General features: G+C 48.1%; 1 protein-coding gene across 5 annotated transcripts, besides 10 other annotated features; it reads right to left on the bottom strand.

Annotated features, from left to right (window-relative positions):
* Positions 1-533: 533 nt before the first annotated feature.
* On the bottom strand, positions 534-27,241 carry FBXO27 (F-box protein 27). 5 transcript variants are annotated; one of them, XM_047438172.1, is made up of 7 exons: positions 27,195-27,241; positions 26,556-26,945; positions 25,901-26,012; positions 25,721-25,816; positions 21,562-21,697; positions 9,079-9,239; positions 3,219-8,954 (listed from the first exon to the last, which is right to left on the bottom strand). In XM_047438172.1, exons 2-7 carry the CDS (start codon positions 26,917-26,919, stop codon positions 8,867-8,869), a joined length of 957 nt encoding a protein of 318 aa, XP_047294128.1. In that variant the 5' UTR covers positions 26,920-26,945; positions 27,195-27,241; the 3' UTR covers positions 3,219-8,866. The 5 variants fall into 5 exon arrangements, with proteins under 5 accessions (XP_016881779.1, XP_047294128.1, XP_047294129.1 ...); XM_017026290.2 differs by lacking the exons at positions 3,219-8,954; positions 9,079-9,239 and adding an exon at positions 534-2,242; XM_047438173.1 differs by having other exon boundaries at positions 26,556-27,241.
* Positions 1,172-1,341: an enhancer, noted in NCBI's record as "active region_14608". NCBI's record gives its function as "activates an Ori minimal core promoter by ATAC-STARR-seq in GM12878 lymphoblastoid cells {active_cell/tissue: GM12878}" and the evidence as "EXISTENCE:reporter gene assay evidence [ECO:0000049][PMID:35858748]".
* Positions 15,837-16,116: an enhancer, noted in NCBI's record as "active region_14609". NCBI's record gives its function as "activates an Ori minimal core promoter by ATAC-STARR-seq in GM12878 lymphoblastoid cells {active_cell/tissue: GM12878}" and the evidence as "EXISTENCE:reporter gene assay evidence [ECO:0000049][PMID:35858748]".
* Positions 25,820-25,929: an enhancer, noted in NCBI's record as "active region_14610". NCBI's record gives its function as "activates an Ori minimal core promoter by ATAC-STARR-seq in GM12878 lymphoblastoid cells {active_cell/tissue: GM12878}" and the evidence as "EXISTENCE:reporter gene assay evidence [ECO:0000049][PMID:35858748]".
* Positions 26,038-26,220: a silencer, noted in NCBI's record as "fragment chr19:39521986-39522168 (GRCh37/hg19 assembly coordinates)". NCBI's record gives its function as "represses an EF-1alpha promoter that drives an FKBP-Casp9 reporter gene in an ReSE screen in K562 erythroleukemia cells {active_cell/tissue: K562}" and the evidence as "EXISTENCE:reporter gene assay evidence [ECO:0000049][PMID:32094911]".
* Positions 26,038-26,309: a biological region, named in NCBI's record as "ReSE screen-validated silencer GRCh37_chr19:39521986-39522168".
* Positions 26,070-26,309: a silencer, noted in NCBI's record as "silent region_10591". NCBI's record gives its function as "represses an Ori minimal core promoter by ATAC-STARR-seq in GM12878 lymphoblastoid cells {active_cell/tissue: GM12878}" and the evidence as "EXISTENCE:reporter gene assay evidence [ECO:0000049][PMID:35858748]".
* Positions 26,336-27,128: an enhancer, noted in NCBI's record as "H3K27ac-H3K4me1 hESC enhancer chr19:39522284-39523076 (GRCh37/hg19 assembly coordinates)". NCBI's record gives its function as "activates a minimal SCP1, AML or CMV promoter by ChIP-STARR-seq in primed H9 embryonic stem cells {active_cell/tissue: H9 hESC(primed)}" and the evidence as "EXISTENCE:reporter gene assay evidence [ECO:0000049][PMID:30033119]".
* Positions 26,460-26,539: a silencer, noted in NCBI's record as "silent region_10592". NCBI's record gives its function as "represses an Ori minimal core promoter by ATAC-STARR-seq in GM12878 lymphoblastoid cells {active_cell/tissue: GM12878}" and the evidence as "EXISTENCE:reporter gene assay evidence [ECO:0000049][PMID:35858748]".
* Positions 26,740-26,889: a silencer, noted in NCBI's record as "silent region_10593". NCBI's record gives its function as "represses an Ori minimal core promoter by ATAC-STARR-seq in GM12878 lymphoblastoid cells {active_cell/tissue: GM12878}" and the evidence as "EXISTENCE:reporter gene assay evidence [ECO:0000049][PMID:35858748]".
* Positions 26,950-27,019: a silencer, noted in NCBI's record as "silent region_10594". NCBI's record gives its function as "represses an Ori minimal core promoter by ATAC-STARR-seq in GM12878 lymphoblastoid cells {active_cell/tissue: GM12878}" and the evidence as "EXISTENCE:reporter gene assay evidence [ECO:0000049][PMID:35858748]".
* Positions 27,242-27,288: the final 47 nt, after the last annotated feature.

Below are 27,288 nucleotides of genomic sequence, written 5' to 3' on the forward strand. Positions count from 1 at the left end.
AAAACCAAAAAAGACATCAACCTGCCAACACCTTTTTTTTTTTTTTTTTTTGACAGAGTCTCGTGTCCTCCAGGCTGAGGCTGGAATACAGTGGCGTGATCTTGGCTCACTGCAACTTCTGCCTTCCAGGTTCAAGTGATTCCCATGCCTCAGCCTCCCAAGTAGCTGGGATTACAGCATGAGCCACCATGCCCATCTCATTTTTTTGTATTTTTAGTAGAGTCGGGGTTTCACCATGTTGGCCAGGCTAGTCTCAAACTCCTGACCTCAAGTGATCGCCCACCTCCGCCTCTCAAAGTGTTGGGATTACAGGCATGAGCCACCACGCCCGGCTATGCCAACACCTTGATCTTGGACTTCCAGCTTCTAGAACTGTGAGAAGTAAATTTCTGTTGTTGAAGCCCCCAAGTCTGTGAATTTTGTTACGGGAGCCCAAGCCAATGGATACAGAGAGTAACATTGTAGCCCACTGAATAAAATAGGAAACCACAAGTCAATACTGATATATGTAGATAAATGAATGAATCCAAAGGTTGATGAAGAATGGGATATTTACAGTGTTTTAAAGAACTTATGAAACACTAATTACAAAGAGGAAAGTAACTTGACAGTGAAGGTTGGCTGACACCACTTTAAATCAAGTGATCAAGGTGAAATGTCATCAATACTGGGACAAATTGAAATTGTGCAGCACATGAAAAATGCAGTGGGGACACACAGAAAAGTCTCTTTGGTGATATTCTTGCCAAAGATGTTATAATCTGAATCTAATTATAAAGAAACATCAGACAAAAGCAAATGGAGAGACACTGTGCAAAGTAAAACTGGCCTGGCCAGGAGTGGTGGTTCATGCCTGTAATCTTAGCACTTGAGGCTGCCGAGGTGGGCGGATCACTTGAGGTCAGGAGTTCAAGACCAGCCTGGCAAACATGGTGAAAAACCCGTCTTTACTGAAAATACAAAAATTGGCCAGGCAAGGTGGCCTACTCCTGTAATCCCAGCACTTTGGGAGGCCAAGGTAGGTGGATCACCTGAGGTTGGGAGTTCGAGACCAGCCCAACCAACATGGAGAAACCCCGTCTCTACTAAAAATACAAAAAATTAGCCTGGCGTGGTGGTGCATGCCTGTAATCCCAGCTATTCGAGAGGCTGAGGTAGGAGAGTCGCTTGAACCCGGGAAGCAGAGGTTGCGGTGAGCCTAGATCACGCCACTGAACACCAGCCTGGGCAACAAGAGCGAAACTCCTTCTCAAAAAAAGAAAAAGAAAAAAGAAAAAAAAGCACATCCCGCTAACCACAGAGATCTATCTTCGAAAGCCAAGTGGCTTCCTCCTTGTTTCTGTATGAATTGTTTTATGTGGTTCAAGACATTGACTCAGGCACAGCAAGTACAGCTGACCAGTAAGTTGAAGCTGATCTGAACAGTGTTCAGGGCTGAGACAGTGTCCTAATAATCAGGGGACAACACACACACGAAATATAATCCCAGGCCAGGTGCTGTGGCTCATGCCTATAATCCCAGTACTTTGGGAGGGTAAGGCGGGAAGATCACTTGAGCCCAGGAGTTCAAGACCAGCCTGGGCAACATAGAGAAACCCCATCTCTACAAAAGATGCAAAAAAGGCATGGTGGTGTGCGCCTATAGTCACAGCTCCTTGGGAGGCTGAGGTGGGAGGATCACTTGAGGCCAGGAATTCGAAGCTGCAGTGAGCTGAGATCATACCACTGGACTCTAGCCTGGGTGTCTCCAAAAAAAAAAAAAAAAAAAAATACAGAAAAGTACAATCCCAGAGGGCACACGTGGTGCCCCCTGGAGACAGAGAGTTTACAGTTTTTAGGGAACCCCAGGCAGGAGGTGCATTCATAAGAGGTTCAGGGGCCCCAGTGTGGTGTTCCAGCCTGGGCCTCCAGCCCTAAAGTTGCCAGACCAGTCCAAACGGATCTGCTCAGTCCTTGCTGTCAGAGGGAATGCCCAAGGCAGTCAATTCCAGATGGGTTTTGCATGTCCATGACAACAGTGTCTCTGCCTGAGGAGTGTGGACAGCAACCCCAGCTGGGCGTTCTGGTGGAATATCCAGGAGCTGGGCCACCCCAGGTGGCAGGTGAGCAGGTGGAAGTATAGGGATCAAATGGAGGGTCACAGTCAATTTGAATTCAAATCAGTCCAGCAGCTTGGAAAGGCAAGACCGGGTGTTTCTTCTTATTTTTCTTTGGGAGGAGGGGAAAGTTCTCGGGAGTAGTTCTGAAAGGCAGAGGTCATTACTGCCCACCCCCAACTCTGCATCTCCCCAGATGCCAAGTTTGTGTTTGGGCTTTTTTTCAAACATTAATTAATTAACTAGTTAATTTTTAGAGACAAGGTCTCTCTCTGTCACCCAGGCTGGAGTGCAATGGCGCGATCTCAGCTCACTGCAACCTCCGCCTCCCAGGCTCAAGCGATCCTCCCACCTCAGCCTCCCAAGTAGTTGGGACTACGGGCACATGCCACCACGCCTGGCTAATTTTTGCATTTTTTGTAGAGATGGAGTTTCCCTATGTTGCCCAGGTTGCCCAGGCTGGGCTCGAACTCCTGGGCTCAAGAAATCTGCCTGCCTCGGCCTCCCAAAGTGCTGGGATTATAGGTGTGAGCCACCGCACTCTGCCTGTGTTTTGGCTATTTAAAAATGTTTTATTGGCTAGGCATGGTGGCTCACATCTGTGATCCTAGCAATTTGGGAGGCTTAGGTGAGCGGTTGCCTGAGCTTAGGAGCTCGAGACCAGCCTGGCCAACATGGTGAAACCCCCATCTCTACTAAAAATATGAAAAATTAGCCAGGCATGGTGGTGCACGCCTATAGTCCCACTTACTTGGGAGGCTGAGGCACAATACTCACTTGAACCTGGGAACCAGAGGTTGCAGTGAGCGGAGATGGTGCCACTGCACTCCAGCCTGGGCAACAGAGTGAGACTCTGTCTCAAAAAAAAAAAAAAAGAAGGTTTTATTTATTTAAATATAAATGGGGTCTCACTATGTTGCCCAGGCTGGACTTGAACTCCTGGGCTCAAGCGATCCTTCTGCCTCAGCCTTTTGAGTAGCTGGGATTACAAGCATGTGCTAATGTAACCGGCTCTGTTTTTGCCTTTTTGTTACAAAATCAGTATGTCTCATTCGGTCATTATAACTTTAGATTTTTTTCCATTTTTACGGAGGTAAAATTCATACAATATATAAATCACTATTTTAGCCATTTAAAAATGTATATAATTCAGTGGTTTTCGGTACATTCACAATGTTGTACAACCATCACCACCATCTAGTTCCCAAATCACCCCAAACAATCCGTGTACCTGTGAGCAGTCACTCTCCATCCTCCCTCCTCCTCCCTGGCAACCGCTAATCTATTTCCTGTCTCCACAGATTTTCCGATTCTGGGCAATTCATATAAATGGATTCATAAAATATGTGGCCTTCTTTCATTTAGCATGTTTTCAAGGTTCATCCATATTGCAGCATATATCAGTATTTCATTCCTTTTTTGTACGTTTGTTTTGAGACAGAGTCTCGCTCCATCGCCCAGGCTGGAGTGCAGTGGGGTAATCCTGGCTCACCACAACCTCTGCCTCCCAAGTTCAAGCAATTCTCCTGCCTCAGCCTCCTGAGTAGCTGGGATTACAGGCACCCGCCACCATGCCCAGCTAATTTTTTGTATTTTTAGTAGAGACGGGGTTTCACCATATTAGCCAGGCTGGTCTCGAACTCCTGACATCAAGTGATCTGCCCGCCTTGGCCTCCTAAAATGTTGGGATTACAGGCGTGAGCCTCCATGCCCAGCCTATTCCTTTTTATGATGGAATAATTTCCCATTGTATGGATGGACCACTTTTGGTTTATCCATTCATCAGTTGAAGGACATTTGCTTGTTTCCACTCTTTGTCTCTTATGAATAATGTAGTTATGAACATTTGTGTATAAGATTTTATTTGAGCACTTGTTTTAAATCCTCTTGGGTATATATGTAGGAGTGGAATTGCTATGTCATGCAGTAGAATTCTACGTTTAGCTTTTTGAAGAAATGACAAACGGCTTTCTAAAGCAGCTGCACCATTTTACATTCCCATCAGCAATGTGTGAGGATAATCTCCATATCATCACCAACACTTGCTGTTTTCTTCTTTTTTTCTTTTTGCTCATATTCATCCTACTGGGTAGGAAGTGGTATTTTACTGTGGCTTTGATCTGCATCTCCCTAAGGATTAATGCTGTTGAACGTCTTTTCATGTACTTACCGAACACTGGTATATCTTCTTTGGAAAAATACCTATTCAAGTCCTTTGCCCATTTGAAAACTGAGTTGCTTATCTTTTATTGTTGAGTTGTAAGAATTCTTTATATATTTTGGATACTAGACCCTTATCAGATATATAATTTGCAAAACATTCTCTCCCAGTCTGTGGGTTGTCTTTTCATTATTTGGTTGTGTCCTCTGATGCACAAAAGTTGTGGGGTTTTTTTTTTTGTTGTTGTTGTTTGTTTGTTTTTGAGACAGAGTCTCACTCTGTCCCTCAGGCTGGAGTGCAGTGGCGTGATCTCAGCTCATTGCAACCTGCGTCCCCTGGGTTCAAGTGATTCTCAGGCCTCAGCCTCCCGAGTAGCTGGGATTATAGGCAGCTACCACCACTCCTGGCTAATTTTTATATTTTTAGTAGAGGTGGGGTTTCACCATGTTGGCCAGACTTGTCTCGAACTCCTGGACTCAAGTGATCCTTCTGCCTCAGCCTCCCAAAGTGCTGGGATTAGAGGTGTGAGCCACTGCACCCAGCCTAAAAATTTTAAATTTTGATGAGGTTAAATTTACTTTTTTTTTTCCTATTGTTGCTTGTGCTTTTAGTGTTATCTAAAAATCAATTACCAAATCAAGATCATAAAGAGATATCCCTGTATTCTTCTAAGAATGTTATAGTCTTAGCTCTTAGTGTTTGAGGCACTTTGACTTAATTTCTGTAGATGGTGTGAGATAGGGGCCCAGTTGCACTCCTTTGGATGTCGTTATCTGGCACCATTTGTTGAAAATATGATTCTTTCCCCCACTGAATGGTCTTGGCACCGTTGTTGAAAATCAATTGATCATCGAGGTATGAGTTTATTTCTGGACTCTCGATTCTATTCCATTGATTTATGTCTCTCCTTATGAGGTAGGAGGTGGGACTTGACTCCAGAGGCAGGGCTCGGACACTGGACCAAATTGAGGACTAGCTGAAACAGGGCTGGGGTGGAATGAGCTTTCCGTAAGACACGCTCATCAGTTGCCATGTCAGTTTACCGTTGCCATCGCAACACCAGGGGGTTATCCCCCGTCTCTTCCATGGCATTGACTCGATGACCCAAAAGTTATTACCCATTCCCTAGAAATTTTTGCACAAATCACCCCTTAATCTGCATGTGTTTAAAGTAGATATAAATGACTGCAAAACTGCCCTGAGCTGCTAGTCTCTGCCAGAGCCCTGCTGTGCAGGAGTAATCAGAGTTGTAACAGGGCTGGAGCTATAACACTGCCCCTTCAATAAAGCTGTTTTCTTCTACCATTGGCTTGGCCTTGAATTCTTTCCTGGGCAAAGCCAAGAACCTCATGGGCTAAGTCTCACTTTGGGGCTCACTTGTCCAACATTACTTATGCCAGGACCACACTGTTCTGATTACTGTAGCTTTGTAGTAAGTTTTGAAACTGGAAAGCGTGAATCCTCCAACTTTGTTCTTTTTCAAGATTGTTTTGGCTATTTGGAACCTCTTGCAATTCCATGTGAATTTTGAGATCAGCTTGTCCATTTCTGCAAAAAAAATGGCTCTTAAAATTTTGACAAGTGGCCGGGTGCAGTGGCTCACGCCAGTAATCCCAGCACTTTGGGAGGCTGAGGAGGGCGGACCACCCGAGGTCAGGAGTTTGAGACCACCCTGGGCAACATGGTGAAACCCCGTCTCTACTAAAAATACAAAACATTAGCCGGGCGTGGTGTCACCCGCCTGTAATCCCAGCTACCTGGAAGGTGGAGGCATGAGAATTGCTTGAACCTGGGAGGCGGAGGTTGCAGTGAGCTGAGACTGTGCCGCTGGACTCCACCCTGGGCAACAGAGCGAAACTCTCTCTCTCAAAACAATTTTTTTTTGATAGGCATTGCAACTGAATCTGTAGATCAATTTAGGGAGTATTGTCATCTTAAAAATATAAAGTCTTCCAGTTGATGAACATGGGGTATCTATTTATTTAGCTCTTATTTAATTTCTTTCAGCAATATTGTAGCTTTCAGTGTAAAAGTAGAATTGTTTTCTTAATTTCATTTTCAGATTGGCATTGCTAGTGTATTGAAATACAACTAATTTTCTTTTCTTATTTTTCGCAGAGATGGCGGCGGGGGAGGGGGGGTCTCCCTTTGTTGCCCCGGCTGGTCTTGAACTCTTGGCCTCAAGCAATCCTCCCACCTCGCCTCCCAAAGTGTTGAGAATTATAGGCATAAGCCACTATGCTGAGCCCTGATTTTCTTTTCTTTTTTTTTTTTTTTTTTTAGACGGAGTCTCTTTCTGTCATCCCAGGCTGGAGTACAGTGACGCAATCTCGGCTCTCTGCAAGCTCCACCTCCCGGGTTCACGCCATTCTCCTGCCTCAGCCTCCCGAGTAGCTGGGACTACAGGTGCCCGCCACCATGACCAGCTAATTTTTTGTATTTTTTTTTTGGTAGAGACGTGGTTTCACCATGTTAGCCAGGATGGTCTCGATCTCCTGACCTCGTGATCCGCCCGTCTCGGCCTCCCAAAGTACTGGGATTACAGGCGTGAGCCACCACGCCCGGCCGAGCCCTGATTTTCAATATTGATTTGTATCCCAAAAATGTCCTGAATTTATTAACCTTTTTTTTTTTTTTTGAGACAGTTTCGCTCTTGTTGCCCAGGCTGGAGTGCAATGGCGTGATCTTTGCTTACCGCAACCTCAGCCTCCCGGGTTCAAGCAATTCTCCTGCCTCAGCCTTCCGAGTAGCTGCGATTACAGGCATGGGCAACCACGCCCGACCCATTTTGTATTTTTAATAGAGATGGGGTTTCTCCATGTTGACCAGGCTGGTCTCAAACTCCCGACCTCAGGAGATCCACCCACCTCGGCCTCCCAAAGTGTTGGGATTACAGGCGTGAGCCACCACGCCCAGCGTCATTTTCAAATTCTCATCTAAATGTTTCATCCAGAAGGGTTGGATACAAAAGGGATGGAAGCATTTCACAGAAGAAACATTTTTATACAAGTTGACTAGAAACACACATCACATCCAGGAATTGGTCAGGATGAAATTCTAAATTTTCTTCTTTTTTTTTGTTTGTTACCAGCTTATATATCAAGAAAAGAAGCGGGGCACGATTGCTCATGCCTGTAATGCTAGCACTTTGGGAGGCCGAGGAGGCCGGATCACCTGAGGTTGGGAGTTTGAGACCAGCCTGGCCAACAGAGTGAAACCCCGACTCTACTAAAAAAATACAAAAATTAGCCAGACGTGGAGGCGCGGGCCTGTAGTCCTAGGTACTTGGGAGGCTGAGGCAGGACAATTGCTTGAACCTGGGAGGTAGAGGTTGCAGTGAGTCAAGATGGCGCTACTGCACTCCAGCCTGGGCAACAGAGTGAGACCCTGTCTCAAAACAAACAAACAAACAAACAAACGAACAAACAAACAACAGAAATCCTAAATTTTCAAAATGTTTTTCTATAACCTCTTTCCCGATCATCATCCAATGAACTTCCTGCAAAAGCTCAATCCCTTTCTGGGGACCGCTGCATCAGTAATCAAACTGCCTTCCTAAGGTGTGTGTTGTAGCAGGAGAGAAGTGGGGAAGTAGAGTCAGGCTACAGGCCACAGTTGCAACCTACAACTAATCCAGAAAGTTGAGCACAAGGCAACAGAAATGAGGCGTCTCCCAAGTGTCCAACCTGTCAGAAGCAGCCAGAGGGGTCACAGTCCCTGAGAGGTGCCCTCCTTGAACTTACAGCTTTTGGCAGGAATCACAGGTTAGAAATACATTCGATGGCCAGGCGCGGTGGCTCATGCCTGCAATCCCAGCACTTTGGGAGGCTGAGGCGGGAGGATCACCTGAGGTCAGGAGTTCGAAACCAGCCTGGCCAACATGGTGAAGCCCCGTCTCTACTAAAAATACAAAAATTAGCCAGGCATGGTGGCGTATGCCTGTAATCCCAGCTACTTGGGAGGCTGAGGCAGGAGAATTGCTTGAACCCAGGAGGTGGAGGTTGCAGTGAGCTGAGATCACACCACTGCACTCCAGCATGGGTGACAGAAGGAGACTCCGTCTAAAAAAAAATTAAAAAAAATAAAAGAAAATAAAAAGAAAGAAATATAGAGCCAAGAAGCCAGTTGATTGTAGATGGTTTCCTCAAAGAAGAAGCCCTTTCCTTGGCCTGGCGTGGTGGCTCACATCTGTAATCCCAGCACTTTGGGAGGCCAAGGCAGGCGGATCACGAGGTCAGGAGATCGAGACCATCCTGGCTAATACGGTGAAACCCCGTCTCTACTAAAAATACAAAAAATTAGCCGGGTGTGGTGGTGGGCGCCTGTAGTCCCAGCTACTCGGGAGGCTGAGGCAGGAGAATGGCGTGAACCTGGGAGGCAGAGCTTGCAGTGAGCTGAGATCACGCCACTGCACTCCAGCCTGGGGGAGACAGTGAGACTCCGTCTCAAAAAACAAAAAGAAGCCCTTTCCTGTGGGCATTTTTATGTGATCCAGATGGTCCAGTCAGCATCCATGATGTTTTCAGTTTAGGTCCCACGGAGGGTGCCCTAAGTCTGCAATGGTCTCATAGTCGAAGTGCTGTTCCTGGAGTGTGCGCCCGTTTTTAATTTAGCACAGCACATGCTGAGACTGAAACAGCACAGAGCAGACAGCAGTATCAGGTTTTGGCTTACAGTCAGGTCCAGGCCAGTAGGATCTGTGAATTCAGGAAGCCACAAGTCAGTGGCTGTTCTTTGGCAGCAGCAAAGCCAAGATGCTGCAGGCTAGAAGGTTCTGTTTCAAGTGCAAGTGACAAACAAGGCTTTCCTAAGCCTTTTTACCTCGTCAATCTTAGAGCTGGAATTGGTGCACTCAAAAACACGCACGGGCTGGATGCAGTGGCTTGTGCCTGTAATCCCAGCACTGTGGGAGGCTGAGGCGAGAGGATTGCTTGAGCACAGGAGTTCAAGACCAGCCCAGGCAACATAGTGAAACTGTGTCTCTACAAAAAAAAAGAAAAAAAAATTAAAATTAACTGGGCGTGGAGGTGGGCACCTGTAGTCCCAGTTACTTGGGAGGCCGAGGTGGGAGGATCGCTTGAGCCCAGGAGGTCGAGGCTGCAGTGAGCCATGACTGCATCATTGTACTCCAGCTTGGGTAACAGAGTAAGACCCTGTCTAAAAACAAAAAAACAAACAAACAAACAAACAAAAATGCATACCTTCAAGAAAAAGAGAAGACAACCACAGACCGGGAGAAGGGATTTGCAGAAGACATATCTGATAAAGGACTATTATTCAAAATGTACAAAGAACTCTTAAAACTCATCAATAAGGGTGGTGTGTGCCTGTAATCCCAACTACTTGGGAGGCTGAGGCAAGAGAATCACTTGAACCTGGAAGATGGAGTTTGCAGTGAGCCGAGATCACGCTATTGCACTCCAGCTTGGGCAACAGAGCAAGACTCTGTCTCAAAAAAAAAAAAAAAAGGTTGGGGGCAGTGGCTCACACCTGTAATCCCAGCACATTGGGAGGCCAAAGTGGGTGGATTGCTTGAGTCCAGGAGTTTGAGACCAGCCTGGGCAACGTGGCAAAACCCCCTCTCTACAAAAAAATAAAAAAACATTAGTTGAATGTGGTGGTGTGCCCTTGTGGTCTCAGCTACTTGGGAAGCTGAGGCAGGAGGATGGCTTGAGCCTGGGAGGCAGAGGTTGCAGTGAGCCATGATCACACCACTACACTCCAGCCTGGGTGACAGAGCAAGACTCTGTCTCAAAAAAAAAAAAAAAAAAAAAAAAAAAAAAGGCTGAGTGTGGTGGCTCATGCCTGTAATCCCAGCACTTTGGGAGGCCAAGGCGGGCGGATTGCTTGAGCCCAAGTGTTTGAGACCAACCTGGGCAACAAAGCAAGACCTCATCTTAAAAAAAAAAGTATTAGCCAGGTGTGGTGGCATGCGCCTGTAGTCCCGGCTACTTGGGAGGCTGAGGCAGGAGGCTCGCTTGAGCCCAGGAGTTTTAGGCTGCAGTGAGCCATGGTCTGATCATGCTACTGCACTTCAGCCTCGGCAACAGAGTGAGACCCTGTCTCTAAAAGTGATCTATCAAGCCATGAAAAGACCTGGAGGAACCTTAACTACATATCACTAAGTAAGAGACCAATTAGGTAAGGATACATACTGCATGATTCCATCAATATGACATTCTGGAAAAGGCAAAACTATGGAGTCAATATAAAATCAGTGGTCGGCCAGGCGAGGTGGCTCACGCCTATAATCCCAGCACTTTGGGAGGCTCAGGCGGGTAGATCGTTTGAGGTGAGGAGTTCAAGACCAGCCTGGCTACATGGTAAAACCCCGTCTCAACTAAAAATACAAAAAAATTAGCCAGACGTGGTAGCAGTCACCTGTAATCCCAGCTACTCGGGAGGCTGAGGTGGGAGCATCTCTCGAACCCGGGAGGCGGAGGTTGCAGTGAGCCAAGATCATGCCACTGCACTCTAGCCTGGGTGACAGAGTGAGACTCCATCTCAAAACAAATACAAAACGAAACAAACAAAAAGACCAGTGGTCCTCTGGGGTTGAGGGAGGGAGGAGTGAACTGGTAGAGCACAGAGGACTTTTAGGGCAGTGAAACTAGTCTGTGTGATACCGCAATGGTAGATACATGTCGTTACACATTTGTCCAAATCCAGAGAATGCACGACACCAAGTGTGACCCTAATACAAACTATGGAGTTTGGGTGATAAGGATGTGTCAACATAGGTTCATTGATTATAACATGTACCACTCTGGTGGGGGATGTTGATAGCGGGAAGGGTGTGTGTGTGTGTGTGCGTGAGGGGCTGGGGGAAACGGGATATAGGAGAACTCTGTACTTTCTGCTCAATTTTGCTGTGAACCTAAAACTGCTCTAAAAATAAAGTCTAGGCTGGGCGCGGTGGCTCACGCCTGTAATCCTAGCACTTTGGGAGGCTGAAGTGGGAAGATAACTTGAACTCAGGAGTTCGAGACCAGCCTGGGCAACATAGTGAGACCTTGTCTCTAATTTGAAAAAAAAAAAAAAAAAACCCAAAAGCCAAAAAAACAAAAATTAGCTGGGTGTGGTGGCACACGCACCTGTAATTCCAGCTACTCAAGAAGCTGAGGTGGGAGGATTGCTTGAGTCTAGGAGGTCAAGGATGCAGTGAGATGAGATTGCACTGTTGTACTCTAGCCTGGGCAACAGAGTGAGAACGTCTCAAAAAAAAAAGCATATTAAATAAACGAAACTTTTTCAGACATACAAAAAAATATGCACACCAGGCTGCCTCATCAGCTGCCTTTAAGGGTCCAGCATTTGATTTTAACAAGGGCTTATTAGCAAACTAGAAAGTGTTTTTTAAAACTCTAAAAGTAGCTGGGTGTGGTGGCATGTGCCTGTAGTCCTAGCTACTCAGGAGGCTGAAGCAGGAGGATCATTTGAGCCCAGGAGGTCGAGGCTGCAGTGAGCCATGATCGCGCCACTGCACTCCAGCCTGGGTGAGAGTGTGAGATCCTGCCTCAACAAATAATTTTTTTGCTTTAAAGTGAAACTCCAAAAGTTTATTTCCATCCAGAGATTGCGTCGCTCTTTTTACTGCTTCTTCCTTTCTCCAAAGGCTCCAGTAAGCCAAAATCATGGCAGAAATCATCGTTTACAGACACTGTACTTGTTCTGTTTCCAATACTCAGAGAATTTAAATTCCAATCCTCCCATTGTTGGCAAAAAGCAAGGGATTTGTTTTATACACACACAATGATTTTTGCAGCTTTCCCTAATCCAGATGATCCTCATAGTGTATAGTGCAAGCATAAACATTTTACATTGATTTTAAAAAATCATACGTTTAGGCCAGGTGTAGTAGCTCACGCCTGTAATCCCAGCACTTTGGGAGGCCGAGGAGGGTGGATCACCTGAGGTCAGGAGTTTGAGACCAGCACAGCCAACATAGTGAAACCCTGTCTCAACTAAAAATACAAAAAATTAGCTGGGCATGGTGGCACGTGCCTGTAATGCCACTTACTTGGGAGGCTGAGAATCACTTGAACCTGGGAGGTGGAGGTTACTGCACTCCAGCCTGGGCAACAGCGAGACTGTCTCAAAAAAAAAAAAAATCATACATCTAGATGAAACAGTCACAAAATACAAAGGAGCTTTTCAAATTTCTCCCTTTTTTTTTCTCATTGCAAACCTACTCAAATGTCTATCAATAAATTCAACACTTAATAGTTGGAATAGAAGGCAGGGTTGCTGCAACCTGTGGGCTGAAGAAATGGGTAGAATCTACAGTCAGCCTTTGGTATCCATGGGATTGGTTCCAGAAACTCCCATGGATCCCAAAATCCACAGATACTCAAGTCCTTATATAAAATGCAGTGATATTTGCATATAACCTCCACACATCCTCCCATATACTTTATTAATTATTATTTTTTCGTGATGGAGTTTCACTCTTGATGCTCAGGCTGGAGTGCGATGGTGCGATCTCGCTCGCTGCAACCTCCACCTCCCGGGTTCAAGCAATCCTCCTGCCTCAGCCTCCCAAGTAACTGGGCTTACAGGTGCCCGCCACCATGCCCAGCTAATTTTTTGTATTTTTAGTAGAGATGGGGTTTCACCATGTTGGCCAAAACTTACACACATAAACACAGACTTTGCATGGTACCATTTGCAGTTGAGACAAATGTAAATCAATACAAAGAGGCAGTGTGAAATCATAATTGCACGAAATTAACTGAAGTAATACTGTACTACTGTAATAATTTCATAGCCACCTCCTGTTGTTATTGCAGTGAGCTGAAGTGTTGTATCAGCTTAAACACCATGTGATGCTAATCATCTCCAGGAGTTCGTTTCTCCAGTAAATTGCATAGCGCAGTAAACAGTGATATCTTCCGGTTCTCGTTCATTTTTCATCCTGTTGAGTGCAATATCGTAAACCCTGAATAACACCACGGGACCCATGCAAAGTGCCACTGATGAAACTGACAGTGCTCCCAAGAAGTAGACAAGTCATGACATTACGAGAGAGTTGATTTGCTTGATATGTACCATAGATTGAGGTCTGCAGCTGCAGTTGCCTGACATTTCAAGATGAATTCAGCATTGAGGAGCATTGTAAAAAAAAGAAAATGAAATTCCCGAAGTGGTCACAGTTATGCCGGCAAGCAGGAAATCCTTGCACTTTTTGTGAAATACCTTTTTATCTCATACTGAAAATGCAAAGCCAGGTGTGATGGCTCACGCCTGGAATCCCAGCACTTTGGGAGGCTGAGGTGGGTGGATCACTTGAGGCCAGGAGTTCGAGACCAGCCTGGCCAACGTGGCGAAACCCTGTCTCTACCAAAAATACAAAAATGAACTGGGCATGGTGGTGGGTGCCTGTAATCCCAGCTACTTGGGAGGTTGAGACACAAGAATCACTTGAACCCGGGAGGCAGAGGTTGCAGTGAGCCCAGATCATGCCACTGCACTCTAGCCTGGGTGACAGAGCAAGACTCTATCACAAAAAAAAAAAAAAAAGAAAGAAAGAAAATGCAGTTTTTCTGTGGGTGCAGAATTGCTATAAGAAAGGCATACTTGCCGAGCACGGTAGCTCACGCCTGTAATCCCAGCACTTTGGGAGGCCAAGGTGGGCGGTCACGAGATCAGGAGATCGAGACCATCCTGGCTAACATGGTGAAACCCCGTCTCTACTAAAAATACAAAAAAACTTAGCTGGGCATGGTGGCGGGCACCTGTAGTCCCAGCTACTCGGGAGGCTGAGGCAAGAGAATGGCGTGAACCCAGGAGGCGGAGCTTGTGGTGAGCCGAGATCGTGCCATTGCACTCCAGCCTGGGCAACAGAGTGAGACTCTGTCTCAAAAAAAAAAAAAAAAAAAAAAAAAAAAAAAAAAAAAAAAAAAAAAAGAAAGACATACCTATAGACTCTAATATAATTCTAGAAAAGTGTAGCCATTATATGACAACTTAAAGCTAAAGGAAGGTGAGGGACATAAATCTGGAGAGTTTAATGCCAGCAAAGGATGGTTTGATAATTTTAAAGAGTTTGGCTGAAAAAAATATCAAGGTAACAGGAGAGGTGGCTTCTACCAACCAAAAGGCAGCAGATGGGTTCCCAGGTGCCAATGAGAAAATCATTGAGGAGAAAAGTTATCTGCCTAAAGAGGGTTTTTTGTTTGTTTGTTTTGTTTGTTTGTTTGTTTTTGAGACAGAGCCTTGCTCTGTTGCCCAGGCTGGAGTGCAGTGGCTCCATCTCAGCTCACTGCAACCTCCGCCTCCTGGGTTCAAGCGATTCTACTGCCTCAGTCTCCTGAGTAGCTGGGATTATAGGTACCCGCCACCATACCCAGCTAATTTTTTGTATTTTTAGTAGAGATGGGATTTCACCATGTTGGCCAGGCTGATCTCAAACTCCTGATCTCAAGCGATTCTCCCCACTTGGCCTCCCAAAGTGCTGGGATTACAGGCAGGAGCCACACCTCGCCTGGTCATGAAGAGGTTTGTAATGCAGACTAAAGTGCCCTATTCTGGAAAAAATGCCTCAAAGGACATTTATTAGTAAGGAAGAGAAGCAAGCACTTAAGGCAGGTAGGGATAGGCTGACTCTACTGTTTCGTGCAAATGGTGTCAGATTTATGATGAGGCTGCCCTTACACAGAAAACTGCTAACCTCCAAGACTTGAAAGATAAAGCTGCCAGTCTTTCAGTTGTACAACAAGAAGGCCTGGACAACAAGAACCCTTCTTCTGGATTGGTTCCACCGACGCTTTGTCCTTGAAGTTAGGAAGTACCTTGCCAGTTAGTTACTTTGATATTAGACAGTGTCCCTGGCCACCAAGAACCCCACGAATGCAACAATGAAGGTGCCGAAGTGGTCTCATTGCCCCCAAACACAGCATCTCTAATTCAGCCTCTAGATCAGGGGGTCATAAGGACCTTTAAGGCTCATTACACACTGTGGAAAGGACTGTCAACACTATGGAAGAAAAGCCTGATGTAGAGAACATTAGAAAAGTCTGGAAGGATGACACCACTGAAGAGGCCATCCTTGTTAGAGAAAGGCTACAAATACCATTGAGCCAAAATAATAAATTCCTGCAGGAGAAAACTGTGTCTATATGTTGTACATGACCTCACAGGATTTATAACAGAGCCAATCAAGGAAATCATTAAAGAGATTGTGGATATGGCAAAAAAAAAAAAAAAAAGGTAGGGGGTGAAGGGTTTCAAGCCATGGATCTTGGGGAAATTCAAGAGCTAATAGATACCACACCAGAGGAATTAACAGAAGATTTTTTTTTTTTCCCTGAGATGGAGTCTCGCTCTGTCACCCAGGCTGGAGTGCGGTAGCAAAATCTCAGCTCACTGCAACCTCCGCCTCCCGGGTTCAAGTGATTCTCCTGCCTCAGCCTCCTGAGTAGCAGGGATTACAGGCACCCGCCACCACGCCCAGCTAATTTTTGTAGTTTCAGAGACAGGGTTTCGCCATGTTGGCCAGGCTGGTCTCGAACTCCTGACCTCAGGTGATCCACCCCCATCCCAAAGTGCTGGGATTACAGATGGGAGCCACCGTGCCTGGCCAGAAGATGTTAACTGAAGATGTTTTTGACTTCTTTCACAACATGGACCCCTCTGTGATACAGGAACTGACACTAAAGCAAACCGTGGAAGAAGTTTTGGTGCCATATAGAAACATTTTTAGAGAAATGAAAAAGCAAAAAGTCAGACAGAAACTATGATGTATTTCTGTAAAGTACCTGCCTGTCCTGCCTCCCTCTCCACCTCCATCACCTCATCCACTTTTGCCACCTCTAAGACAGCAAGACCAGCCCTCCTCTTCAGCCTACTCATTGTGAAGATAACGAGGATGAAGACTTTTATGATGACCACCTCCACTTACTGAATAGTAAATGTACTTTCTCTTCCTTATAATTTGCTTAACAACATTTTCTTTTCTTTAGCTTACTTTATTGTAAGAATACAGTATATAATATAATAACATACAACATATGTGTTAATTGACCATTTATGTTATCAGCGAGGCTTCTGGTCAACAGTAGGCTATTAGTAGTTAAGTTTTGGGGGAATCAAAAGTTATACTCAGATTTTTTTTTTTGAGATGGAGTCTTGCTGTGTTGCCCAGGCTGGAGTGCAGCGGTGCAATCTTGGCTCACTGCAACCTCTGCCTCCTGGGTTCAAGCGATTCTCCTGCCTCAGCCTCCCGAGTAGCTGGGATTACAGGTACCTGCCACCACGCCCAGCTAATTTTTGTATTTTTAGTAGAGATGGGGTTTCACCATGTTGGCCAGGCTGGTCTTGAACTCCTGACCTTGTGATCCACCTGCCTTAGCCTCCCAAAGTGCTGGGATTACAGGTGTGAGCCACCACATCCGGCTATCCTCAGATTTTTAACAGCAAGGAAGGTCAGCACCCCAACCGTCACGTTGTTCATGGGTCAACTATATAATATTTCCACATCACTTCATTCTCACGGATTCAACATGGTACTTGGCATGGGGCAAATTCAAGTTTTTACTTTTTGAAACTTTGTGGAAGTTTTTTTCCCCAAATATTTTCTATTCTTTTTTTTTTTTTTTTTTTTTTTTTTTGAGACAGGGTCTCACTCTGTCTCCTAGGCTGGAGTGTTGTGGTCTCAATATCGGGGGCTCCAGTGATCCTCCCACCTCAGCCTGTCAAGTAGCTGAGACTACAGGCACACGCTCCCCCACCACACCCAGCTAATTTTTTAAATTTTTTTGTAGAGATGGGTCTCACTATGTTGCCTAGGCTGGTCTTGAACTCCTGGGCTCAAGCAATTCTCCTGCCTAGGCTTCCTACAGTGTTGGGATTATAGGCGTGAGCCACCACATCCAGTCTTTCCCGAATATTGTCTTTTGTTTGAGACAGAGTTTTGCTCTGTCACCCAGGCTGGAGTGCAGTGGTGTGATCTTGGCTCACTGCAACCTCCGCCTCCCAGGTTCAGGTGATCCTCCCACCTCATGCTCCTGAGTAGCTGGGACTACAGACGTGTGCCTCCATGCCTGGCTAATTTTTTTGTTTGTTTGTCTGTTTTTGAGACAAAGTCTCTGTCGCCCAGGCTGGAGTTCAGTGGAGCGATCTTGGATCACTGCAACCTCTGCCTCCCGGGTTCAAGCGATTCTCCTGCCTCAGACTCCCAGACAGCTGGGATTACAGGCACCTGCTGCCACGACTGGCTAATTTGCATTTTTATTTTATTTATTTATTTTTTGAGACAGAGTTTTGCTCTTGTTGCCCTGGCTGGATAGCAATGGCGCGATCTTGGCTTACGGCAACCTCTGCCTCCCAGGTTCAAGCAATTCTCCTGCCTCAGCCTCCCAAGTAGCTGGGATTACAGGTGCCCACCACCATGCCTGGCTAATTTTTTTTTTTTGTATTTTTAGTAGAGATGGGGTTTCGCCATATTGGCCTGGCTGGTCTCGAACTCATGACCTCTGGTGATCCATCTGCCTCAGCCTCCCAAAGTGCTGAGATTACAGGTGTGAGCCACCATGCCCAGCAATTTTTGTATTTTTAGTAGAGACGGGGTTTCACCATGTTGGCTAGCCTGGTCTCGAACTGACCTCAAGTGATCCACCTGCCGCGGTCCCCCAGAGTACTGGGATTACAGGCGTGAGGCACCAGGCCCAGCCTCCCGAATATTTCCAATCTACAGTTGGTTGAATCCACAGATGCAGAAGCTAGCCACATGGAGGGCCAACTGTGTATGTTTATCTTATTCTTTTTTTCCCATCTGGCTTATCGAAAGCTTTGAGCTGGCCGGCAATAGATTTAATTTCTTTTACTCCCAGTTGGAGGAAAGAGCACCTATAAACTGTTTACTGTCTTTGACCCACCAAAAACTCATTTTGGGAAAGTCTTGGCCCTTTCTCTTGCAGCCTACAGAAGAGAGGGAAAAAAGCCAAAGGTGTCACTTGGGCCATGCTTTTCTTCCTCATTGTAGCCAGCACTCACCAAAATCAGCCAGGGGATCCAGGGAGTCAGCTCTCTAGAGGCTGGACCTATTGTCTTTTTTTTTTTTTTAATTTGAGACGGAGTCTCGCTCTTTCGCCCAGGATGGAGCGCAGTGATGCGATCCTGGCTCACTGCAACCTCCACCTCCCGGATTCAAACGATTCTCCTACCTCAGCCTCCCGAGTAACTGGGATTACAGGCGCGTGCCACCATGCCTGGCTAATTTTTTGTATTTTTAGTAGAGACAGGGTTTCACCATGTTGGCCAGGCTGGTCTTGAACTCCTGACCTCAAGTGATCCGCCCACCTCGGCCTCCCAAAGTGCTGGGATTATAGGTGTGAGCCACTGCGCCCGGCCTCAGCTAGTGTTTGCTTTCGTACAGTTTTCCCTCCTCAACTGGGACTACTTATGATTCTCAACCAAGGCAGTAACTCTGCATTTCTATTAAAAAGATCTGAAGTGGTTTTGGCAAAATAAGAAATTTATTACATATGATTGGCAGATACATGCTGCTGATATATTATTCTTACTGTTTGAAAAAAAGTCAAAATAAAAATAATGTTATTTTAATTTTAAATACCACACAATTACAGGTCCTTGAGGATCAGGGTTGGGCTCAGGGAATTACCTCGTTTTTTCAGAGAAACCAGAGTGGGCAGAACCATCTCCAAATTCTTTTTTTTTTTTGAGACAGGGTCTCGCTCTGTCACCCAGGCTGGAGTGCAGTGGTATGATCATGGCTCACTATAGCCTCAACCTGGGCACAAATGATCCTCCCACTTCAGCCTCCCAAGTAGCTTGGACTACAGGTGTGTACTACTGTACCTGGCTAACTTTTGTATTTTTTGTAGCGATGGGGGTCTTACTACATTGCCCAGGCTGGTCTTGAACTCTGGGGCTCAACTGATCCTCCCACCTTGGCCTCCCAAAGTGCAGGGATTACAGGTGTGAGCCACCCTGCCTGATCCAAACTTTTTCTTTTTGAGACGGAGTCTCGCTGTGTTGCCCAGGCTGGAGTGCAGTGGCATGATCTTGGTTCACTGCAGCCTCTGCCTCCCGGGCTCAAGCAATTCTCCTGCCTCAGCCTCCCGAGTAGCTGGAATTACAGGTGCACACCACCAAGCCCGGCTAATTTTTTGGATTTTTAGTAGAGACGGGGTTTCACCATGTTGGCCAGGCTGGTCTTGAACTCCTGACCTCAGGTGATCCGCCTGCCTCAGCCTCCCAAAGTGCTGGGATTACAGGCATGAGCCACTGTGCCTGGCCCAAACTTTTTTTTTTTAACGTAGACTTTCAGCTGCATGACCTGGTCCCAGCCCTGTAGCTCGGAAGCCCCAGGAGGTGAGGTTCACACCCTTAGGGCTGGGACTCTCTGAGCCCTAAGGATGAGATTCTAAGTTCAGAGATGAGTTGAGGGCTTCCCTGAAGGGACCAAGGAAGTCCCTGTGGCAGAAACAACAGGAGACAAGAGGTCAGTGGTGCGGAGGGGAGGGGATGGTACAGAGGGGCCTGGGGCTGGATCGGAGGGTTTTGGTTGGGAGGAGAAGAGAGGGGAGGGCAAGAATTCTTCTCCAGGATGGGCATTCCCCCATGCTCACTTGTGGGTTTCCCCTCAGTACAGTAGGGCCCCCCCGCAAAGCAGCAGCTGCAGTAGGTAGATAAGATGGAAGAAGCTTCTTCTGGTAGTTTCTAGAACCTGAAGACAGGGCCCGTCAGGGCCTTTGATTGGACCCAGGAATTCTCAGTATGCCAGGGAGGTACAAGTGCTTGGTTGGTTAATGAGGGGTCCCAGCCAATGGTCCCAGGCCCTGGAAGGCACAGTCAGGCTGTCTTGCAAGAAGGGTAGTGCTGGACTAGGACAGACGGACTCGCACGATCACACTGGAGTTGGTCACACGGGCTCCATAGTGGCCAGCCCAGAACTGTGTGTCCTGGCCCCGGTGTTCGAAAGACACAAAGCGGACGCCCATCTTGATGTTGGAGAACACGTGGGTGACCTGTAGGCAGAGGAGGGGCTCAGCTCCATTGTGCCACAGCCTCCCCTCCAAAGCTGAGGTTAGGGCCTTCTGGAAGATGGTTATTTTCCAAGGATGGCTATAAAATCTCCAATTGGGCCACATGTTCTTCTAGAATCTTATAGAATCTTCCACTCCCTCATTAAAAAGTAGAATCTGGTCGGGTGCGGTATGGCTCGTGCCTGTAATCCCAGCACTTTGGGAGGCCGAGGCAGGTGGATTGCTTGAGGCCAGGAGTTCGAGACCAGTCTGGCCAACACGGTGAAACCCTGTCTCTACTAAAAATACAAAAAATATTAGCTGGGCTTGGTGGCACGTGCCTGTAGTCCCATCTACTCGGGAGGCTGAGGCAGGAGAATCACTTGAACCTGGCAGGCGAAGGTTGCAGTGAGCAGAGATCATGCTACTACACTCCAGCCTGGATGATGGAGCGAGACTCTGCCTCAAAAAAAAAAGAAGTAGAATCTAACTCCCTTCCCCATGAATCAAGGTGGGTTTGCTTGTCACCAAGAATGTGGTGAAAATGATGCTCAGTGACTTTGGCCAAGTGACTTTTTAAGGCTAGGTCAGAAAAAGCAAGGCAGCTTCTACTGTTTCTCTGGAACCCTCCTCCCTGAGCAACCACATGAGCAATCTGACTGCCTAGGAGCCGCCATGGTGTGAGGAAGCCCAAAGGAGCCCAAGCAGAGAGATCCCATGGAGAAGCTCTGAGACTAAATGAAGAAAGAGATGTTTGGCCAGCCACCAACAGCTACACACATACTACCCACCACCCTGGCCTGCAGCTCCAGGCATCATCAGAATGTCACTGTCTGAACGCTGAAAGACAGGAGCCAGAACTGCCCAGGTAAGCCCTCCTGAAATTACTGACTCACAGAAATCACGAGAGGTAGTCAAATGACTGTCATTGATTTTTTTTTTAGACAGAGTCTCGCCCCGTCACCCAGGCTGGAGTGCAATGGCGCAATCTTGGCTCACTGCAACTTCTGCCTCCCAGATTCAAACGATTGCCTGCCTCAGCTTCCCGAGTAGCTGGGATTACAGGCATGTGCCACCACGCCCAGCTAATTTTTGTATTTTTAGTAGAGATGGGGTTTCACCATGTTGGCCAGGCTGGTCTTGAACTCCTGACCTTGTGATCCGCCTGCCTTGGCCTCCCAAAGTGCTGGGATTACAGGTGTGAGCCACCGCACCCAGCCAGACTGTCACTGATTTTAAGCCACTAAGTTTTGGGGTGATTTATTTTGCAGCAATAGGCCCCCAGCATCCTTTCCCCAAACCCCCATAGGAGACTCACGTGAAGGCAGGCATTGTTGTTCCACTGCGGGATGGGATCAGGCACAGCAGAGAATTTATCTAGAACAGTCTGGTTGGCGTCTAGAAGTTGGACGAGGAGTCTGTACATACAGCCGCTGTCGTGTCGGGCTCCCCACCTGTGGGAGGAAGGAGCCATGAAGGCTGGACCTGCCACCCCATCTCTTTGGGTGTCTGCCTACCTTGTCCGAATGCCCTTCCCATGTGTGCAAATCCAGTTCCTCTAAAGAGACTCCTGGGAGGTGATCTCTGGACCTTTGGAATGTTGTGTCAGACAGGAGTGTCTTTGATGGGGACCCAGGTGGTACTGGATAATCTACCAATATGATTTAGGGCAGGGGCCAGCCACACTCATATAAATAGTCTCAGTGGGGAGTCTCCGGAAAGACCCACAATGTGACTTTCGGTGGGGGCTGGGAGTCAGGGAACGTCAGTTGACCTGGAGGCTGAGATTAACCACGTGGGCAATCGATCAATCCATCAGGCCTTGTGATGAACCCAAGAAACACTCTGGACACCGAGGCTCAAGTGAACTCCCTTGGTCAACAAAATTCCATGCATCTTGTCACACATCAGTGCCAGCACGGTAACATGTCCTGATGCCATGGGAGAAGGACAACAGAAGCTCTGTGTTTGATCTTTTCCCTGGATGCTGCTCTATGCCCTCCTTTTCTTGGCTGATTTTAATCTGTATCTTTTCCCTGTAATAAACCAGAAGTGTGTAGTAGCTTTCTGTGAGTTCGTCCAGTGAATTATTGAATTGTGAAGGTGGTTTTGGAAGTCCTCCAAACTTGTAGTTGGTAAAGATGTAGAGATGGGGTTTTGCCATGTGACCCAGGCTGGTCTTGAACTCCTGGACTCAGGCGATCTTCCTGCCTCCGCCTCCCAAAGTGTTGGGACTATAGGCGTGAGCCACCATGCCCAGTCAGATTTTGTTTTTAATTATTACTCATCAAACTACATAACATATTTGTGTTGTTGTGACATATCATGTCAGAAGCGAGGATGGTCTTAGGGATTCCATCCCCGAACTTTGTAGCAAGCTCTAAACTTCTCACAAATATTGATGCCTGTCTGGGCGAGGTGGCTCACGCCTGTAATCCCAACACTTTGGGAGGCCGAGGTGGGTGGATCACTTGAGGTTAGGAGTTCGAGACCAGCCTGGCCAACATGGTGAAACCTTGTCTCTACTAAAAATACAAAAATTAGCCAGGCGTGGTGGCAGGTGCCTGTAATCCCAGCTACGAGGCAGGAGAATCGCTGGAACCCAGGAGGCAGAGGTTGCAGTGAGCTGAGATCGCACCATTGCACTCCAGCCTGGGCGATAGAGGGAGACCCTGTCTCAAAAACAAAAAACAAACAAATATTGGTGCCTGGCTCTCACCCTCAGATGCTCAGATTTAATGGGTATGAATGGTGCCTGGGCATTTTATGTTTTAAAAGCTACCTTTATGAGGTGCGGCAAAATTTGGGAGCCACTGATTATCACAATCAAATAGTACCCACTGATCAAAACAACACAAATATGTTACATAGTTTGATAAGTAATAACAAAAAATAAAATCTGGCCAGCCGTGGTGGCTCACACCTGTAATCCCAGCACTTTGGGAGGCAGAGGTGTAAGGACTGCTTGAATCCAGGAGTTCAAGGCCAGCCTGGGTGACATGGCAAAACCCCGTCTCTACAGAAAATATGGCTGGGCATGGTGGCTCACACCTGTAATCCCAGGACTTTGGGAGGCAGAGGCGGGCAGATCACCTGAGGTCAGGAGTTCGAGGCCAGCCTGGCCAACGTGGCCAAACCCCGTCTCTACTAAAAATACAAAAATTAGCCAGGCGTGGTGGTACACACCTGCAATCCGAGCTACTGGGGAGGCTGAGGCAGGAGAATCACTTGAATCCAGAAGGCAGAGGTTGCAGTGAGCTGAGATTGTGCCATTGCACTCCAGCCTGGGTGACAAGTGAAACTTTGTCTCAAAAAAACAAAAAATTCAAAAATTAGCCAGGCATGTAAAATTAGCCAGTATGCACCTGTAGTCCCAGTTACTCAGGAGGCTGAGGTGGGAGGATTTTTTGAGGCCAGGTGGTAGAGATTGCAGTGAGCCGAGATCACGCCACTGCACTCCAGCCTGGGTAAAAGAGCAAGACTCTGTCTCTAAAAAAAAAAAAAAAAAAAAAAATCTTATTGGAGATGTATCTCTTAATGAGATGGAGTTGGGGAATAGGGTTATGGTGCCTTGATTAAGAGTGAATTTGCTGGCCAGGCACAGTGGCTTATGCCTGTAATCCCGGCACTTTAATAGGCTGAGGTGGGCAGATCACCTGAGGTCAGCAGTTCAAGACCAGCCTGGGCAACATGGTGAAACCCCATCTCTACTAAAAATAAAAAAAAATAGCCAGGTGTGGTGGTGCACACCTGTAATCCCAGCTACTCGGGAGGCTGAGGCAGGAGAATCACTTGAATCTGGGAGGTAGAGGTTGCAGTGATCTGAGATTGCACCATTGCACTCTAGCCTGGGCCACCTAGTGAGACTCTGTCTCAAAAAAAAAAAAAAAAAAAGTGAATTTGCTAAGGCCCCAAATTTCCAATGGCCACTTTGCCTGGCTCCCCAGTAGTCCTTACATCTGGGGACCACACCTTAGTGAGGGGCTTTTTTCCTATAAAACTAGAGAAGGGGGACACTGAGAAAGAGATTGGGGAACGAGAATCATATGATACTTCCCACACAGATGTAACCTATAGCAGATTAATTGTGTAATAGGGGGCTCATGGCTGTAGTGGACCTGGAATTTGACTCCCATAAAACCATCTGGGTCATATATCCCCTGGAAAGTCTTCATGCACCCCAGTTTCAAGACCATCACTACAGAGGACAAGCTCTGGAGTCAGAATCTGACTCTGAGCCTTATGCCAGGTTCTGCCAAGCCCAGGCTGTGTGACCAGACCAGGGCAAGTCATCTCCCCTTTCTTTTTTTGATGGAGTCTCGCTCTGTTGCCCAGGCTGGAGTGCAGTGGTGCCATCTCAGCTCACTGCAACCTCCACTTCCCGGGTTCAAGTGATTCTCCTGCCTCAGCCTCCTGAGTAGCTGGGACTACAGACACTTACCATGACGCCCAGCTAATTTTTTGTATTTTTAGTAGAGATGGGTTTTGCCATGCTGGCCAGGCTGGTCTCGAACTCCTTAGCTCAAGAGATCTGCCCACCTCGGCCTCCCAGAGTGCTGGGATTACAGGCATGAGCCACCGTGCCCAGACTGCCATCTCCCCTTTCCCAACCTCTCAATTTCCTGAGAAGCTCTGAATGATCTGAGGGCTTGAAATACACCTTCCCACAGGATCAAGGTTCAAAAAAAGGTGCTCACATAAAGTACTTGCTATGTGTTTGCCATATAATAATTGTCATTGCAAGAGCCCTATCTTGTAAACAGGGGAAACAGAGGTATGCTGTGACTTGCCCAAGGCTACAAAGCCACAGAGCTAGGGTTTGAATCTGGGAGGTCTGGCTCCAGAACCTAAGCTCTTGGCTAACTATGCTGTTTTCTCCTCCTAAGGCAAGGAGCATCTCATTCATTCACAGACAAGACTGAGCTGGGCCAAAGGTCTCTGTACTGGATCTCATCTTCTGTCTTCCAATCCACATCCTTTTGGGCATGAGCAGAAAGTGTGTACTCTGCTAATTACTAGAACTGTGAGTGTGTTTTTCACTTCACCTCCCTGAACTTCAGTTTCTTTTCTTTCTTTTTTTTTTCCAGGACTGAGTCTCACTCTGTCGTCCAGGCTGGAGTGTAGTGGTACAACCTCCACCTCCTGGGTTCAAGTGATTCTCCTGCCTCAGCCTCCCAAGTATGTGGGACTACAGGTGTGCACTACCAGGCCCGGCTAATTTTTTTTTTGTATTTTTAGTAGAGACGAGGTTTTGCCATGCTGGTTGGGCTGGTCTCGAACTCCTGACCTCAAGTGATCTGCCTGCCTCGACCCCCCAAAGTGCTGGGATTATAGGTGTGAGCCACCATGGCTGGCCTGAACTTCAGATTTTTTATCTGTAAGGAGGGGTTAGGAGGCCTAAATTAAGTCACCCATAAAAAGGCCATGTCACATGCAGTCAGTGCTTAGCAAGGGGCTATTTTAATCGTCACACTCACCAGTCAGAGACACAAATCTCAATCCTGCCACTATCCAGCAGTTCTGGCCACAGACCCTCCTCCTCTAGGTCCAAGACCTGCTTCTTGCAACACCAGCTGGGAATGCAGGAGACAGGGTAATGAGAACAGGCAGGCCTTTCTCAACAAGGGGCCGGACCTTTGGATAGCAGGGGCATTCACCTGAATGAAGTCACGAAGCACGTCTGAGAAGGGGCCCCAGGCACGGTTGTCCTGTTTTCCTCCACCACCCAGCCGTCCCCACCGTGTTGCACCATCCACTTTCGGAGGCCTTCTGTGAAATAAAAAAGGCTTGTGCCCAAGTTCCAGTCGCCCGCCTGTTGGTTCCTAGTGAGACCCCGCCCCTAGCCCCTCCCACGTGCTCACAGTGCAGCTCACTCACCTGACCCTTCCCACCGAGGCCCCGCCCCCTTCCCCTCCCACCAGCTCAGGGCAAAGCCCCGCTCCTCTGGCCCTTCTCACTGATTTGCAGCAAAGCCCTGCCCCTCCAACCCCTCTCTCGGGCTCCCAGAACTGCCCCACTCCCACCCCTCCCACAGGCAAACGGTGAAGCCCTGCCCAGTCAGCCCTGCACCCTGCGTGCCAATGCTGCCTCGTCCCTCCGACACCTCCCACCGGCTCCCAATGCTGCCCCGCCCCTCCGGCACCTCACACCGGCTCCCAATGCTGCCCCGCCTCTCCGACTCCTCCCACCGGTCCCACTGCGGCCCTGCCCCTGCGGCCCCTAGTACCGGTCCCAGTGCGGCCCCGCCCCTCCGGCCCCGCTACCGCTCCCACTGTGGCCCAGCATCCTGGACTTCCTCTTCCGAGATCCCACCTTGGCCGCAGGGGTTGCGAATAAGGTTGCGTCCGATGGGTCTGCGCGCGCAGAAGCGGCCCAGGGGGCAAGGCCTGGCGTTACGGGCGGGAGACTGGCAGCTGCGGGCGAGGTGCAGCAGCGCGCGGCCGGTGGCGCCGTGGTCGCGGGCCAGGATCAGCAGCCACAGGGCCTGGCCGTCCACCAGGGCTCGCCAGCCCCGGCACACTTGGCGGCAGCGCCCGAGCAGCGTGCGCGGGGGGACGTGGCTCAGCACCACCAGAAGCAGCTCTGGGGGTAGTTGGCTCAGGTCCAGCGCCTCTTCGGGTTCCGGCTCCGGCGCGGGGACCCGGGCGGCCCGGCCCCTGGAGACCGAGGCGCCCATGGTCCCCCCGCCAGGCCCGGCTGTGGCTGCGGGAGAGGAAGGGTCAAGGCGTCAGGGACCAGCAGCCTCCGCGGCGCGCAGCCTCTGCCTGCCCTGATTCTGCCAGCCGCACCCCCGTCTTCACCATCCCTGGGCCCCGTCCCCAAGTCCCCATCCCCCAGCCCGTCCTTGATAGCCCCGATATCCCGGAGACCCCGCGGTCTGTGTGTATGCCCCGAATTGCATGCAATCAGCCCCCCTCGGCGGCCGCACCGACACCGCACCCCAAGTCCTACCCCGGGGCCTGGCGGCGCTCCTCGCCGGGATGCCCTAGCTGTGCCGCAAGCTCCCCACGCCCCTCTGCGTCCTTTTTACTCGCCGGCCCCTCCC

The sequence above is a fragment of the Homo sapiens genome, chromosome 19, assembly GCF_000001405.40.
Source record: "Homo sapiens chromosome 19, GRCh38.p14 Primary Assembly".
Lineage (NCBI taxonomy): Eukaryota > Metazoa > Chordata > Mammalia > Primates > Hominidae > Homo > Homo sapiens.

Coding starts and splice junctions, on each gene's coding strand:
- FBXO27 (XM_047438172.1), bottom strand. CDS start 26,919: ATGGGCGCCTCGGTCTCCAGGGGCCGGGCCGCCCGGGTCCCCGCGCCG. Junction 25,817..25,900: donor TGCTTCGTGACTTCATTCAG/GTGAATGCCCCT, acceptor CTGCATTCCCAG/CTGGTGTTGCAAGAAGCAGG. Junction 9,240..21,561: donor ACAACAATGCCTGCCTTCAC/GTGAGTCTCCTA, acceptor TTTTTTTTGTAG/AGACACAGTTTCACTATGTT.